The following is a 17373-nucleotide window of genomic DNA, read 5'->3' as shown; positions in this document are numbered from 1 at the left end:
GTGTGTGTGTGTGTTTTACAAGAGTATCTTCACCAGATGAATTGCTTCAAATTGGAGAAAAGTCAACTTGGGGGAGTGGGTCAAACAAGGATTTTGGAATTGGATCCATCTGGGTTTGGATAATCACTCTTCGTTGTACTGGCTGATTGGACATTGATCCATTCATTCATTCCACATCCCATCATTTGGCAGGATCCTAGGTGCTGTGTATACAAGTTGAGTAAACACTGTCTCAACCCTAAAGGAAACTCTAGTAAACTGGGTTCCTCAAAGACACAGAAAAGCAGTAGATGATGAGATAGAGACTGGAAATTGAGGTGTCACAGAAGGTGACGTTTTACAGGAAGTGTGTTTCCAGATGTGGAGGAAGTGCTCAGTAAACCCAGAGGCTATAGAAAACAAGTAAATGAAAGCTAACATGTATGCGTTGGCTTCACTGTGTGAAGGAGGTTCTGACAGCCTTGTGTTTTCAGTGTGTATGTGGAGGGTGGGGGATGTACCATAGCCACGCTGCAGTGCATACAGGAATAAGATGCAGGGAGGAAGAAGGCCAAGGACTGACAACTCAGGTTCAAATTTCTGCTGCTGCATGAAGCGGAATAGGGAAGACACAAACGATAGAGCTGGAAGAAGATCAGAGGTCCAAAGAGGTTGTAGGGGTTTGTTTTGTTTGCTTGCTTGCTGTTGTTATTTTTAAGGTGATTTCTTTTAAAGATGCTTTTTAAAAAAATTTCCTACAACAAGAGATTTCAGCTTATTTAAACAATGACAGAAAGGATGAGAAGAAGAGAAAACCGTTTTCTTGACTTTTCTGAGCCTTAATTTGCCCATAATACCCTTTTTTTTTTTAAGAAGGAGTCTCGCTCTGTCGCCAGGCTGGAGTGCAGTGGCATGATCTCGGCTCACCGCAACCTCTGCCTCCCGGGTTCAAGCAGTTCTCCTGCCTCAGCCTCCCGAATAGCTGGGATTACAGGCATGCGCCACCACGCCTGGCTAATTTTGTATTTTTAGTAGAGATGGGGTTTCGCCATGTTGGCTAGGCTGGTCTTGAACTCCTGAGCAGGACTCCAGGCAGTCCACCCACCTCGGCCTCCCAAAGTGCTGGGATTGCAGGTGTGAGCCACTGCACCCGGCCCATAGTACCCATATTTTAAAAATAGGTACTAGTTATCACAGAGATACCTTAGAGATGAGGTTCCTGCGAATATATCATTTAGAATAGGACCTATAATATAGTATGGGGGTCAGTAAATGTTCATTCTCTTTCACCTATGTGCTGATCAATGAGACCTTTCAGGCCCTTTCACCTAAGGTATCTAAAGGGATTTGTGCATGACACTGGCTGCTCACTTCCTTGTGTGTTATTAACTCTAGCCCCTGTTACCATGAATAACTAACGACAGCCTGTGACTTCAACTGTCTGTTACTTGGGTGAGAAGTTAATCTCTGCCAGCAGGCTTCCCAGATTCTGGAGACCGGCAGCTGGCCTTTCCAGAAGGGCATGGCCAGTGTGGCTTTCAGACTTGATAGAGACCCACGCAGCTGGTAGCTTCCTAGTGTGTGGCACGCATACCTGGTGGGTAGCAAAAGGTGAGGGAGTGGATGGTGTAGGAGGGTCCCTCAGCCACACGCCGACCAGGCTGTGTGTTCACAAGCAACATTCCAGGCTTAAGTGGTGGGGATGCAGTCTCTCACTTAAGCACGGGGACTTCTGTCTTGACCGTTCACTGAAATGGGCGAGGACTTATTTAACTGCCATTTTCTCCCCTCTGTGTATTGGTACTTCTCTAGCTCTGGTCCCTAGAGTTCAGGTCTGGTTCTGGCCATTTAGTCTTCCATAATCCTGTCAAAATCCACACATGTTCTTGGTTTCCATTCCCAGTTTGGTAGCAGGAAATGTCTGTCATGCCCTCTCTAATGTACTCAGAATCTAACTAAAATTGGTTGTTGCCCTAATTACAGAAAAGTCCTGATGCGGCCGGGCGCGGTGGCTCATGCCTGTAATCCCAGCACTTTGGGAGGCCAAGGCGGGAGGATTACTTGAGGTCAGGAGTTCAAGACCACCCTGGCCAACATGGAAAAACCCCATCTCTACTAAAAATACAAAAATTAGCTGGGCGTGGTGGCATTGCGCCTGTAGTCCCAGCTACTCGGGAGGCTGAGGCAGGAGAATTGCTTGAACCCGGGAGGCGGAGGTTGCAGTGAGCTGAGATCGTGCCACTGCACTGCAGCCTGGGTGATAGAGCGAGACTCTGTCTCAAAAAAAAAAGAAAGAAAGAAAAGAAAAGATGCCACAGGGCTATCTGCCGCCAAGTGTGAAGACAGGCTCAGAAAGGCCCACCCCTACCCTCAGTTCCATCGGTTCTGTTTGTTGCTTTCTGGGCTGCAGTATCAGGAAAGTGCTTGACCCCAAGCTGGACCTCCCTCCACCAGCCTCGCCGCCTCTGAGTCCAACAGCAAATGTACAGCTTTTGTTTTTCCCTTCCCTGATCTGACACAGCCATGGAAACAAGACACATTGCCCAGTTAGGCATTGAGAACAAAGCTGTTATAAACCAAACACTCACTCCATGCTGTCTGTCTTCTGGGAGTTGTTTTTTGGGCCTGCTTTTTCAACAACTCTATTGGGTTTAATTTGCATACCATAAACTGTACTCATTTAAAGTATAAATTCGGCCAGGCGTGGTGGCTCATGCCTGTAATCCCAGCACTTTGGGAGGCCGAGGCGGGTGGATCACCTGAGGTCAGAAGTTCAAGACCAGCCTGGTCAACATGGTGAAACCCCGTCGCTACTAAATATACAAAACTTAGCCGGGCGTGGTGGCGGGCGCCTGTAATCCCAGCTACTCAGGAGGCTGAGGCAGAAGAATCACTTGAACCCAGGAGGCAGAGGTTGCAGTGAGCTGAGATTGTGCCATTGTGCTCCAGCCTGGGCAGCAAGAGCGAAACTTCGTTCCAAAAAAAAAAGTATAAATTTATCTGAACTGTCACAGGTGTATACACTCATGAAACCACCATTATAACTAAAATATAGAACACTTCCATCATTCCCAAGTTTCCTTGTGCCCCTTTCTACCATAGTTTTACACACTTCATCTCATTTAATCTTTCACAAGTCTGGAATTCCGTAGAAATGTCGAGTACCAATTTATAGATGGGAACACTGAGGTACAGGAAGGTTCAGTGACTTGCCTGTGTCAGACACCAGAAAGAAGCAGAGCCGGGGTTTAAAACCAGGCATGTCTGGCCAGGTGCAGTGGCTCATGCCTGTAATCCCAGCACTTTGGGAGGCCAAAGCGAGCCAATTACTTGAGGCCAGGAGTTTGAGACCAGCCTGGCCAACATGGCCAAACCCTGTCTGTACTAAAAATACGAAAATTAGCCAGGTGTGGTGGCACATGCCTGTAGTCCCAGCTTCTTGGGAGGCTAAGGCACAGAAATCACTTGAACCCAGGAGGCGGAGGATACAGTGAGCCAAGATCACCCCACTGCACTCCAGCCTGGGCAACGGAGTGAGATTCTGTCTCAAAAAAATAAAAATAAAAAATAAAACCAGGCATATCCTGTCCTGATATCTGCATCATGCTATGTGCTGCCTCCAGGGCCCTGAGATGGGGAGGAGAACGAGGCCTCGGGGCAGCACACCTCCTCACTTGCAAACTAGCTGTCCCCTCAGTAAGTTCCTTTGCTCTTTTCTCATTTCTACAGGTATTATTTTGTTTTCTTAAATTAACTTCTATTTCTGTTTTTCTCCATCTTTTAGACTTAATTTCCTTCATAGAAGAAGGCATGAGACTGAAACTGAATTTAGAATTTCCTTGTCAGGAACAAAAATTGCCATATTTGTTCAGAGGTTTATTGAACCAGTAGTTATTTCTGGCTTGTCTGGTTGTCTTTTTTAAAATTACTATTTTTAAAGGCTGTGTAGCCAAGAACAGAGGGAAAAAAAAAGAGGGTACGTGTGGGGCTTCCAGAAAGGCAGCAAAGTAAAAAAAGATGGAAAGTAGCAGCCCTGGGAGAACCCCAGATACTGGGCTCTGGCCTGTCTCCTGCAGCCCCCAGCCACATCCCACTCTGATAAAATACACAAGCAGTGCACAAGCCAGCCTGCACTTTTCAGTCCTGACGTATGACTTTCTGTGCTCTTCTGTTTTCCAAAAGTAGCAGTTAAATATAAATGCACAGTGAATGACCTGCATTTTGCCAGGAGAAGCCACAAAGCTTACATTTCCTAGACTTGTTTGTCTAAATCAGAAGGCCCCATGTTGTGTTAGCACAGGTTTTCACAGAGAGGGTCGGGTGAGGGCAGAGCTAGAAGGATGGCTGAATGATCTGAGTCAGAGTGCAGACTCAGGAAAGCAGAGGGGAGGTGAGAGATACAGTACCTCCACAGGCAGAGAGCTGGGCTTCTCCATCTTGTGGGCAGAATGTGCTTGTTGGTTGAAATCTGGTGAATAACAAATGTTACTGTTCCCCATGGGGAGAAAAATAAGCTTTGGATACTTCTTCATAAGTAGGCTAATTGTAAACACTCATTCTTGTCTTCATTTGAGGTTTTGGGGAAACTGTGATATACTGACAACCTGTTTTTAAGTCAGGACCTTGACCTGCGAACCTGGGGAGACAGGAAGAGCTTAGTTCGGGGCCCTGGGCTTCTGCCCAGGGTTGCTGTAGCCTCAGGGAGCTCTGGAGGCAGAACCTTAGACACCCATACAGAGACACACACACACATACACACACAATCACATGCACATCCATGCATACACAGACACACACACACGCATGCATGCACACAAACAAACACACATAGTTCAGACTGTAAGTGTCCAGGTCAAGGCCACAGCCAGGGTGAGCTGACCTTTCCCAGATCCTTGCTCTAATATTAAATGCTAAGCCAGTGTTGCCTGCACACACAAAAAAGTGAGAGAGGAGAACATACTCATCTTCTGCCTGTGTTCCAGGTGCCTTTTGACTTTATGTTTTATATATATATTTATATATATATATATTTTTTTGAGATGGAGTCTCGCTCTTGTTGCCCAGGCTGGAGTGCAGTGGTGTGATCTCGGCTCACTGCACCCTCCGCCTCCCGGGTTCAAGCTGTTCTTCTGCCTCAGCGTCCTGAGTACCTGGGATTACAGGCACGCACCACCACGCTCAGCTAATTTTTGTACTTTTAGTAGAGACAGGGTTTCGCCATGTTGGCCAGGCTGGTCTCGAACTCCTGACCTCAGGTGATCCACTTGCCTCGGCCTCCCAAAGTGCTGGGATTACAGGCATGTGCCACCAATATTTAAGCTCATGGGATGGGTAACACAGGAGGTTGAAGTTAGCAGACATTGATTATCCCCAATACTGGAACTCAAAAGTCATTTATCATTCTTTGCCTCTCTCATGAATCAAATGATGCCCTGGCTGATGGACTTCCAGACTGCATCAAGCTTTGTAAAAACTGTAATTCACACCCACTAATTCATCTCTTCACTAATTTATTTATTTATTTATTCAGCAAACATTTATGGAGTGCCTACTATATGCCATACACCATGCTGTGGGCAGGGGGAATACAAAGGCAGGGGGGACATGCCCTTGTTCTCAGGAAGTTCCTGGGCTAGTGGGGAGTTGGGCAGGCTGTGTGGCGAGAGCAGGGTGGTGTGGTCAGTGCATGGTGACAGCGGTGAACTCTGTTCTGGATGGATGCTGTTCCCAGCATTCTGGTGAGTAACACATTAGTCCCAAACTGAGACCTTTTAGGGTTCAAGTGTCAAGCACCATCAAGATCTAAATTGGTTTTACCCTATCCGTATAAGAGCATGAAGTGTTTCTAAGGTATCTTTACCCAATCCCTATATCATATATACCTTTCATTTTACCAGTGAAAGCCCATTTCTAATATTTGTCATTGGTAGTTAATAGGTCACTAATTTTACCAATAGAAAGCTGTTTCAGATATTCAGGGTATTAATTAGCAAAGCAATGTTTTTGGTCAAGATACAAATAAAGAAGTACTTGTATTAGCCACATCTGGAGGAGGATTTTTTCTAGTGGGAATGCTAACTGTCCGTCCCAGAGTGAATTCTTAATTGGAATACCAGCAGCAGCTGGGTTACAGCTTAACATAAGTAACACATGCACAATATTACACAGTGTGTTTTCCTTTTCTTTCCTTTTTTTTTTTTTTTGGAGAGGGGGGTCTCACTCTGTCACCCAGGCTGCGGTGCAGTGGGTCTCACTATGTTGTCCAGGCTAGTCTTGAACTCCTGGGTTCAAGTGATCCTCCTATCTCGGGCTCCCGAAGTGCCAGGATTGTAGGCATGAGCCACTGCACCTGGGCACACAGTATATTGTTCTTGAGATAGCACAGACATCTTAAGATGAATGAATGCCTACTGTTGATATAAAATTGAATGACATCTTAACAAAGTACAATATTGTTGAATTACATTTTCTGTCCCTCAAAGATTATAGCCATTGTTCTTTTTTCTTCTACCACTGAACATGATGAGGTGAAATTTTAGGCAAGCCTGATTTAATTTTGTTCTTGCATGGGATTTGCCTTTTCTTCCTGAATATCAGTTGAATTATTTCTTCATCCTTGGCATTCAGCAGCCAAATACTGTGCCAGTTTTTCCTGGTACATGGTGTCCACTTCTGATTGTCTATTTATATTTTTACTTAAGAGTAAGATAAATACAGAACATTTCAAAAATCAAATATTATAGAGTTCAGTGAATTATCATACCATAAACTCACCCATGTAATCGGCACCCAGGTCAAGAAGCAGACCACCACCAGCCATCCAGAAACACTCCTGGTGCTCCCTTTCAGTCCCAGCCTCCCTTAGAGTAACCACTATCCACACTACTTAATAAATTACATTCGCCCACCTCACTTGAATTTTATTTAAGTGGAAGCATACATTATGTACTCTTGTGTATGGCTTCCTTTGCCCAACATTATGTCTGTGAGACACATACATGTTGCTCTGTGAGCTGTTCACTCTTTTTCTTTGCTTTGGAGTATTCCATTCTACTGTTAGGATTATTTTTCATTGTTTCATGTTTGGGGCTATTATAAGGACATTCTTGCACAGGTCTTTTGGTGACCATGTTACATGTATTCCTCTAGAGTTTTGCATTTTCTAGAATTTTGTCTATATAATTTAGAGTTGAATTGCTGGATCATACGTGTGTGTGTGTGTGTGTGTGTGTGTGTGTGTGTGTGTTCAACTTTAGTAGATAATACCCAACAAGATAATGCCCAAATGGTTGTAACAATTTATGCTCTGAAGAGCAATGTATAAGAGTTCTGGGAGCCTTACCTCCCCATCAACAATTGGTATTGTCAGTCTTGGAAATTTTTAGCCATATTGATGGGTATGTTGTGATGTCACTTAATTTGAGTTTCCCTGATTAATGATGTTAAGCACCTTTTCATATGTTTTCTGGCTATTAGAATACCTCATTTGTGAAGTGCCTATTCAGTTCTCCTGCCCATTTTTCTACTGGGCTATTTTATATTTATTTGTAGGAGTCCTTTATATTATTCTGGATACCAGAACTTTCAAGGTTATTTATGTTGCAAATGTCTTCTGTTAGGTAAGTTGCCTTTTCATGTTCTTCATAGTATCCTTCATAAATAGAATTTTAATGTAGTATAACTTATTAATCCTTCCCTTTTTAAAAAAATTGTGATAAAAACCACATAACATAAAATTTACCATCTTAACCATCTTCAAGTGTGCAGATAAGTAGTGTTAAGCATATTCACATTGTTACGAAACAGATCTCCCTAACTTTTTCATCATGTAAATCTGAAACTTTATACTCATTAAATAAAACTTCTTCTTTTTCTCCTTTCCCTCAGCCCTTGGTAACCACCATTCTACTTTCTGTTTCTATAAATGTGACTACTATCAAAGCCTCATGTAAGTGGAATCACACTGTATTAGGTTTATTTTTGTGACTGGCTTTATATAAAGGAAACTATATATCTATATCTATATATCTTTTTTTTTCTTTGAGACAGAGTCTTGCTCTGTCGCCCAGGCTGGAGTGCCGTGGCAAGATCTTGGCTCACTGCAACCTCCACCTCCTGGGTTCAAGTGATTCTCCTGTCTCAGCCTCCTGAGCAGCTGGGATTACAGGCAGTTGCAACCACACCCGGGTAATTTTTTGTTTTTGTTTTTGTTTTTTGAGACGGAGTCTTGCTCTGTCACCCATGCTGGAGTGCAGTGGTGCGATCTCGGCTCACTGCAAGCTCCGCCTCCCGGGTTCACACCATTCTCCTGCCTCAGCCTCCCAAGTAGCTGGGACTACAGGTGCCTGCCACCATGCCCGGCTAATTTTTTGTATTTTGTTTAGTACAGATGGGGCTTCACTGTGTTAGCCAGGATGGTCTCGATCTCCTGACCTCGTGATCCGCCCGCCTCAGCCTCCCAAAGTGCTGGGATTACAGGCGTGAGCCACCGCACCCGGCCATTTTTTATATTTTTTTAGTAGAGACACGGTTTCACCATGTTGGCAGGCTGCTCTAGAACTCCTGACCTCAGGTGATCCACTCACCTTGGCCTCCCAAAGTGCTGGGATTATAAGCATGAGCCACCACGCCTGGCCCAGCCTATATATTTTTAAAAGAAACAAAAAGGTGTATTTTAAAAATCAGGTTAAGGAAGTTTCCTCATATTCCTAATTTCTAAGGGTTTTTATCTTGTTGACTTTGTCAGATGCTTTTCTAAAACTCCTTTTTTTCAAATATTAAACCAATGATAAATTCCTGGGATAAATCTAACTAGGTATAATGTATTATTCTTTTAATATATTAACTTTTAATATATACTTAATATATTAAAGCTTAACCCAGCTTACCGACATTAACTTATTGCTGGATTCAGTTTGCCAACATTTTATATGGGACTTTTGCATCTATGTTCAGTGAGATTGGTCTGCAGTATTTCCTTTTTATTATGTCCTTGCCAGGTTTTGGTACCAAGGTTACACTGTATATATAAAATAAATTGGGAAGTATTTCCTCTTTCTCTTTTGTCTGGAAGAGTTTGTATAAGATTGGAATTATCCTCTTAAACATTTGATGGAATTCATTGGTAAATCCACCTGTGCCTAGAGTTTTGTGTGTGTGGAGAGATTCAGTTTTGTTAATGGTATATAAAATTTTTCTATTTCCTCTTGTGTCACTTTTGGTAAGTTGTATTTCTCTAGAAATTTTTCTATTTCATCAGAATTTTTAGTTTCCTGGACATAATTTTTTTTTTTTTTTTGAGATGGAGTTTTGCTCTCGTTGCCCAGGCTGGAGTGCAATGGCACCATCTCAGGTCACCGCAGCCTCTGCCTCCCAGGTTCAGATTACAGGCATGTGCCACCACGCCCTGCTAATTTTGTATTTTTAGTAGAGATAGGGTTTCACCGTGTTGGCCAGGCTGATCTCAAACTCCTGACCTCAGGTGATCCACCCACCCCAGCCTCCCAAAGTTCTGGGATTACAGGCGCAAGCCACCATGCCCAGCCAGCTTCCTGGATATAAATTTTTATCATGAAGTCCTGCTATTGTATTTTCTAATACCTGAAACATCTGTGATGATGCCTTTTTTATTCCTAATGTTTTTCATTTGCATCTTCTCTAAATTCTTCTTAATTAGTCTTGCTAGGAGTTTATCAACCTTACTCGTCAGTTCAAAGAATTTACTTTTGACTATGTCGATTTTCTGTATTGTGTGTTTGTTTTTTATTTATTTCTCCTCTTTTAAAAATCTCCTTCTTCTATTTCTTTGTTTTTAACTTAATTTTCTTTACCCAGCTTCGGGAAATCAATGTGATTTTTCAGCCTTTCTTCTTTTCTCACATAGATATTTAAAGGTATAACTTCCCCCGAGCTCAGCTTTTGCTGTTTCCCACAAGTTTTGATATGTCATATTTCCATTATCATTCAGTTAGAATGTTTTCTGATTTCCACAGTAATTTCTCCCTTGAGCCATGAGTTATTTAGACATGTTTTGTTTAATTTCTATACATAGGGGAATTTTTAAGTAATTTTTTGTCTAAGTTAATCTCACTATGACCAGAAAATGTATGTATGATTCAGTCCTTTAAAGTTTGTTGATACTTCTTTTATGGTCTATTTTGTAAAAATTATTCTATGTGCACTTGAAAAGAACATTTATTCTATAGTTGTTGGATGTCATCTACACATTTCAAAGAAGTCATATTTATTAAATGTGTTGTTCAAATCTATATTCTTACCTTTTTTCTATTTGTTATAATTATTAATGATAGAGATGTTTAAAATATCTCACTATGATCATGGATTTATCAGTGTCTTCTTTTAGTTCATGTCTGTTAGATTCCTATATTTTGAGGCTATATTATTAAGTACATACAATTTTAAAATTTGATATCTTCCAGGTGAATTGAAACATTTATCTTTATGAAAGAGCCTTCTTTATCTCTACTAAGTATTTTTTGCCTTAAAGTCTTTTTTGCTGGTTAGCCTCTTCGTGACTTTTTTTAATTCTTTTACTTTCAACTCATCTGTGTACTTATATTTAAAGTGTGTCTCTTATAAATACCAGGTACATGGGTTCTGTTTCTTTATACAAGCTGACACCTTTTGTCTTTCAATAGTAGCATTAATCCATTTTACATTTAACCATCGGTAGATTTGGTTTTAAAATTACTGTCGTTTTTGTTTTCTCTCTTTCCTATTTGTCCTTTGTTCCTTTTTCTCTGCTTTCCTGCCTTCTTTCGAAGCAATTAAGCATTTTTTACTTATTATGTTTACCCCTTCTATTACCTTCTAATAGTCTTTTACTCTCCTTTCAGTGGTTACTCTAGAAATTATAACAGGCACCCTTGACATATAGAAGTTTAATATTAATTAATAGTTACACCATTTCCTGGCTAATTTAAAGCCATCAAACACTTTGACTCCATTTACCTCCTCCCAGCTTCTATGCTATTGTCAAATGTTCTGAATGAATATTGTGTGTGTGTGTATATGTTGTTGTTTTATGCAGTCAACATTCACTTAGCTCTGCCTCCATATTTACTATTTCATTGTTCTTTCCTTCCTGCATCTCTGAGCTTCCATCTATGACATTTTCATAGAGTAAGAAATTCCATATTGGCAGTTCTTTTCTTCTAACATTTTGAATATTTTATCACATTGTCTTCCGGCTTTTATTGTTTCTTTTGAAAAGTCACCTCTCAATCTTATTGTTGCTTTATCAAACATTATATATTTGCTTTCACAGGTTGCTTTTACGTTCTTCTGTCTTTGGTTTTTAGCAGTTTTAATTTGGTATGGCTGTAGGCAATTTATGTGAATTTATTCTGCTTGAGGTTTGTAGTGATTCTTGAATATGTCTCTTCTGTCTTTTTTTTCTGGTTTTATAAAATTCTCAGTCTGCTCTGTTCTTTGAAGTTTCTAACTGATTTTTTAGTTCTGTCATGATGCTACATTGGTCCTGAATTTGATGCCTGAAGTTCATAACCACCCTTTTCATAACATTCTGTTATTTTACACATTACCTTTGAGCTTTGTTTTATTGCACTCACTTTCTTATTAAGTTTTGTGTTGTGAAACAGTCCTTTAATCCAGAAGAGGGAATGGTGGCCGTAAGGGGACAAGTCAGCTGAAGTAGTATGTTGCCCAGGCTGGAGTGCAGTGGCACGTCATGGCCCACTGCAGCCTCAATCTCCTGGGCTCAAGTGATCCTCCTGCCTCAGCCTGCCGAGTAGCTAGGACTACAGGTGTGTGCCACCACACCCAATTTTTTTTTTTTTTTTTAAGAGATGAAGTCTCACTTTGTTGCTGAGGCTGGTCTCACTCCTGGCCTCAAATGATCCCCCTGCCTCAGATATTTTACTTGTTTGTTTATTTGTTTGTTTTTAATATATCTGGGCGTGACTGGGCATGGTGACTCATGCCTGTAATCTCAGCACTGTGGGAGACTGAGGTGGGAGGATTGCTTGAGACCAGAAGTTCAAGACAAGCCTGGGCAACATAGTGAGACGCTGTCTCTGCAAAACATAAAACAATTTTTTTAAGTCTGGGTTCTGCTTTTTCCTCAGAAATGTTTTAAATGTTCTATATCAAAGTTTCCTTCCCTTGCACAATGTGAAGTCTTGCCATTTCAGATTCTGTCAGGAAGAAGCAGCCCTCCTGGTTACTGGTCTGGTTCTCTCCATCCACTTTGCGTCTCTCTAGGATTTGCTGACTCCCAGGACCATTTCTGAAGGGTGAGGGTGGGTTAGGAGCTAAGCCAGGTCACGCTTGTCCAGTCTTCTTTAGAACCCTCTGTTTCTCCTCTTGGTAACTAGTTTCTGAAATTCATTGCAATATATTATTCCCTTTTCGTGAGGTTGCTGTTGGTAAAATGTTTTTGCTGATGTTTAGTATAGTTTCCTCATTTTTAGAAATTCACATTCAGTAAGCCCAGTTTTATGTTTGTGTTTGTGTGTGTGTGTGTGTGTATGGGTGTGTTTGGTGGTGTTTCCCCATTTTGGTAGGTATGGGGGAGGGAAAAATATACGATACAGTTTCAACTGGAACACTTAGATATTTTCAAGTGTAGCCTGTAATGCACCCTGCTCATAAGGCAATTTTGGCCTGTATCCCCAGTACATATTCTAGTGGTCTGGAACATAAGTGATGAGGTAGAAGAAGGAGGAAGAAGAGCAGAGGGACGGGCAGCCAGAAGCAAGAACAAAAAGGCAGGGAGCACTGGGGCAGATGGAAGTGAAATATGGGGTGTGGGCATAAGAGACAGGGAAGAAGCCGGAGCAGAGGTTACAGCGAGACTTGTCAGGGCCACAGATACTCTGAGGTGCTGGAAGATTTTGAGTATCCCTACAGTCACACTTCTTTTTAGCTGTTGGTTATTTGGGTAGAATTCTGCTTTCCCGTGGACAGTATCAGTCTTGGTATCTGCAGAGGTGACAAGATGGTGGTCCATGAGGACAGTGAGGAAGCACTTCGACTCACCACCCACCTTGACACCGACAGCCTGCCAGCTTTCCCATCACCTAGGACTGCCTTTGGCAAAGCTCTGTGCAAATGTTGTTCCCTTTCATCATGCTGACTGAGTTCAGCACAAACAGCTTGTTTACTCCCAACAGTCAGTGAGCTATAGTTGATGACCTGAAAGAAAATGAATGCACTCTCCGGATTCGTGCAAGCAAGAATGGGAAATGACAAAAATACCATGGAATAAAATAGAATCTGGGGTTCTTCACGGTTCGATGTCTTGGGGCTGCAATGAGGCAACAAAAAATATTCCCTAGTAAAATGACGTGTGGAAAGAGGCCTTAAGGTATAGCTGGTGCATGAAGTGATGGCCTATGCTTTCGAGTGGGTGGAAGCTTCTTGAGGAAAAATGATCTTGGAGAGTTACTGCTTCCTACCTTACCCCTCATGAAAGGGGGCCGGGTTCTGGCTGAGAACAGGGATATTCATCCTCAACAGCAGAACCTCTAGGAGACAACTGGCAAAGGTGTATTGTTTCACAAAGATAATTTCTTCTGCAGTACCGCAGAATATGTTCTTTTCTTTAATTAAGAACAAATTGGTTGGGGCAGATTTGGGGCAAAAATGACTGGTCAGACATGTGGAATGCCAAGCTTCTTTGCATTAGGAGCAAGCTTTGATGGAGCGGGGTCACCATTCTGCTTGAAATCGACTAGCAGTGGGGAGGGAGTTCTACTAGGCTACCCTTTGAAATTGATAGGGATGTGGGCACCAAGGAGAGGCTGGGATGAGAAGAGATGCTCTCACCAGCCAGGCTGTGGCAGCGATTTGCTCACCAGTGTGTGAGGGTGTGTGTTGTGTGCACGTATGTGGTGCACACCTGTGTGTGTTTGTATTCAATTGGTCCTTCAACAATGGCGTCTTTTCAGAGGGTCTTCGGGGTGTTATGAGAGACTATGGGTACAAGTGATTTATTCCGTGTAATTTAGAAGTGGGCCTATAGTCCTCTTGTGTTTTGGGAGACTGTGCTCCTGGAAACTGATCCCAGTGCTGAACAGTTTTAAGGTAGCAATGAAGAGAAGCTTGGGATCTGAGCTGTTGCAGACTTTTCCTTGTTTTCCTTCCAGAACCATTTATTCTTTCACTCACTCAAGAATACCTATAAGAATACCTATAGTAGATAAGCACTGTTCTACTTTAGGGACACAATGCCTTGGGGCCTGCTCCCCAAGCAGCTCATTGCTAGTGTGTTAGTTAGCTTTTTCTGCATAATAGACCATCCCCAAAAACTTAGTGGCATGAAACAACAATTTATTCTGCTCCAGTTCTTTGAGTCAGCAGTTTGGGCTGGGCTCACTCAGGTGAATGTGGTCAGCCACAGCTGGCTAATCTACGGTGGCCTCAGTTGGGACGTTTACCTCTCCTTCATGGGGTCTTTTATCCTTCAGCATCCAGGTTTGTTCACATGGCAGCTGGCAGGGCTCCGAGGCAGAGAGCAAAGGTATGCAACACTTTCATTGCGTTCAGTAGGTCAAAACAAGGGACAAGGTCAGCCCAGATTCTAGAGATGAAAAAATGGGCCCCATCTTTTCATAGGAAGAGAGGTGCAAAGTCACATTGCAAAAGGACTTGATGCAGGGAAAAGTGGAGATTTGTGGCCATTATTGCAGTCTGTCTTCCACAGCCAGTAAGTACACACATGTGCACAAGCAATCTAACCACCTTATCCTGAGGTCAAAGATATACGTCATGACTTTCTTAAATCTCAGTGTGACTTGTCTGTATGTTTTGGGTAAATTGTAGTGAAAAGTTCTGTCATAGTGGCATTCATTTCATTTTGTTGTTTTTTGAAGGAAGGACAGTACTTCAATGCAAAACCTAACGCCCATTCAGAATGTTGGGTGAAAATTTATGCACACAAAATCTTTGAAGTTCAACCCTATAGGATGCAAGACCATGAGATTCTGTCCCATATGCTCCAACGGGGGAGGGAGTATTTATCCTGTTCACCAGTGATCCCAAACTCTAGCACATAGTCAGCACTCAGTGAGGTCTGTTGAATGAAGGAGTGGGTCAGTGCAGGTTTTGAAATGAGGATATAACAGGGAATGTGAAGGGCCTGACTGAGCCCTGGGAGCCTGTATGTGAATTCTACAAGGCTCATTAGAATGGTCCAGCCATCTGATATGTTTTTTGTGTGAGGTTTTATGAACAGGACACAATGGGGTGTGATTGGGCTGTCCTTTTCTAAGCATAAAACACGCATGCATTTGATATTTGTCAGTGATGTTTGCTCTTCATCCACTGTTTCCCTTTTCTGACTGAGGACACATGTAAAGTGAATGGGCTTACATGTCAGGAGCAGATCAGAAAAGATTGTTAACTTTTATTTATAACTCTGTCAGTCATTAAATAAGCAAGATACAGAGTCTTATTCTCTAACAGCCTTTAGAAATAAGCCAGATACCCACTAATCTAGTTTCAGAGCCCAGGAATGCACCACATGACACCTCAGCATTCCATCTAGACCTTGGCTCTGGAGCTCTGTGCATTTTGTTCTTCCGAAGTTGAAAGTTAAGTGGGAGAAGCAGTCTGTTTTAATAATTTAAGTGTATCTTCCAGTAGGACTTGGCTTTCAAAGACCATTGAGAGAGGGGAAGGTCAAAGGGCTGCTGCTGTCTTCTGAGGACACCAGCTTCTTGAGCTTTCCTGACCAGTTGATTCCCCTCTCATCGGGCTGTCCTTACATTCTGGTCTCCTAGTTGTGGGGCTCTATTGCTTCTTATTCAGTTGAATTCAGAATACTTTACAGCATCATCTCATGACTTGGAAGTTTTACAGAGAGCAAATCAGTGTTTTAAAAGATGCATTTGGGGGCCGGGCGCGGTGACTCATGCCTGTAATCCCAGCACTTTGGGAGGCCGAGATGGGCGGATCACAAGGTCAGGAATTTGACACCAGCCTGGCCAACATGGTGAAACCCTGTCTCTACTGAAAATACCAAAATTAGCTGGGTGTGGTGGTGTGCACCTGTAATCCTAGCTACTCAGGAGGCCGAGGCAGGAGAATCGCTTGAACCCGGGAGGCGGAGGTTGCAGTGAGCCTAGATTGCACCATTGCACTCTAGCCTAGGAGACAGAGCGAGACTCTCTCTCAAAAAAAAAAAAAGATGCATTTTTGAACTTAATTATAAAATACATACGAATCATAAGGCAACAAACCAATGAATTATCAAGAATAAACACTGATATTTAGGCCTTGACACAGGTGAAGAAATCGAATATTGCCAGCACCCTAAAAGTCCTGTTTGTACCATACCCAGTCATCACCCCTTCTCTCCTACCCAAGTGTAACTACCATCCTGAGTTCCGACATCCATAGATTAATTCTGCCTGTTTTTAAACTTTATATAAATAGAATCAACACAGAGTGTGCACTTTTGTGCCTGGCTCAACATTATGGCCATGCAATTCATCTATTTTGTTGTGGGAAGCAGTGGTTGGTTCATGTTTATTGATGTACAGATTTGCATTGAGTATACCATAACTGATGTACCAGTTAATGGACATTTGAATTGCTTCCAGTTTTTTACTATTATGAACATTCTTAGGCGTGTCTTTTGGTACCCATATGCACACATTACTGTTAAGTGTATATATTTAGGAGTGGAATTGCTGTGTCATGGAGCATCCATATGTTCAATTTTAGTAGAGATGCCCAGTTTTCCATCGTGGTTGTTCCAGTTCACACTCCCACTAACAGTGCTGTATATCCTAGTTAACATTTGATATTGTCGGTCTGTTTAATTTTAGCCATTCTGGTGCTATGCAGTGGTATCTCATTATGACTATAATTAACATTTCTCTCTTACTAGTGAGGTTGAGCATCTTTCCACATGTTTAATGACTAATCTGATATCTTTCTGGTGATGTCCCAAGTCAACTATCTTGCCAATTTTTCTATGGTTTGTCTGTCTACTTAGTATAGATTTGTGGGAGTCCTTTTTAAATTCTGGATACAAGCCCTTTGGAGGTCATATGTGTTGCAGATAGCTTCTCTAACTCTGCCTTGCATTTTAACTCTCTTTGTGGTAGCTTTTAATGAACAGAGGATCTTCATTTTAATGTAATCCAGTTATCTGTCCTTGTGCCAATACCACAGCCTTAAAAGGTAATGCAGTTTTATAGTAAATCTTGAAATGTTTTGCATATGTCTTCCGGCTTTTTCTTTTTCAATATCGCCTTGTCTATTCTTACATTGCATTTCCATAAACTTCCATCCATTGCATTTCCATAAACTTTAACATTCAGTTAATGTCTGAGATTTTTATTGGAATTGTATTAGATCTGTATAGATCGATTTGGACAGAATTGCCAACTTAATGATCTTGAG

At 42.0% G+C, this 17373-nt stretch overlaps 1 protein-coding gene across 2 annotated transcripts in view; it reads left to right on the top strand.

The window, feature by feature from the left end:
• The window catches only part of SUSD5 (sushi domain containing 5), a 68768-nt gene that overhangs the window by 46616 nt on the left and 4779 nt on the right, over window positions 1-17373 (top strand). The window lies entirely within an intron of this gene.

Source organism: Homo sapiens, chromosome 3 (assembly GCF_000001405.40).
Source record: "Homo sapiens chromosome 3, GRCh38.p14 Primary Assembly".
Lineage (NCBI taxonomy): Eukaryota > Metazoa > Chordata > Mammalia > Primates > Hominidae > Homo > Homo sapiens.
The sequence above is the reverse complement of the archived record's forward strand: the minus strand, read 5'-3'. Positions and strand labels throughout refer to the sequence as shown.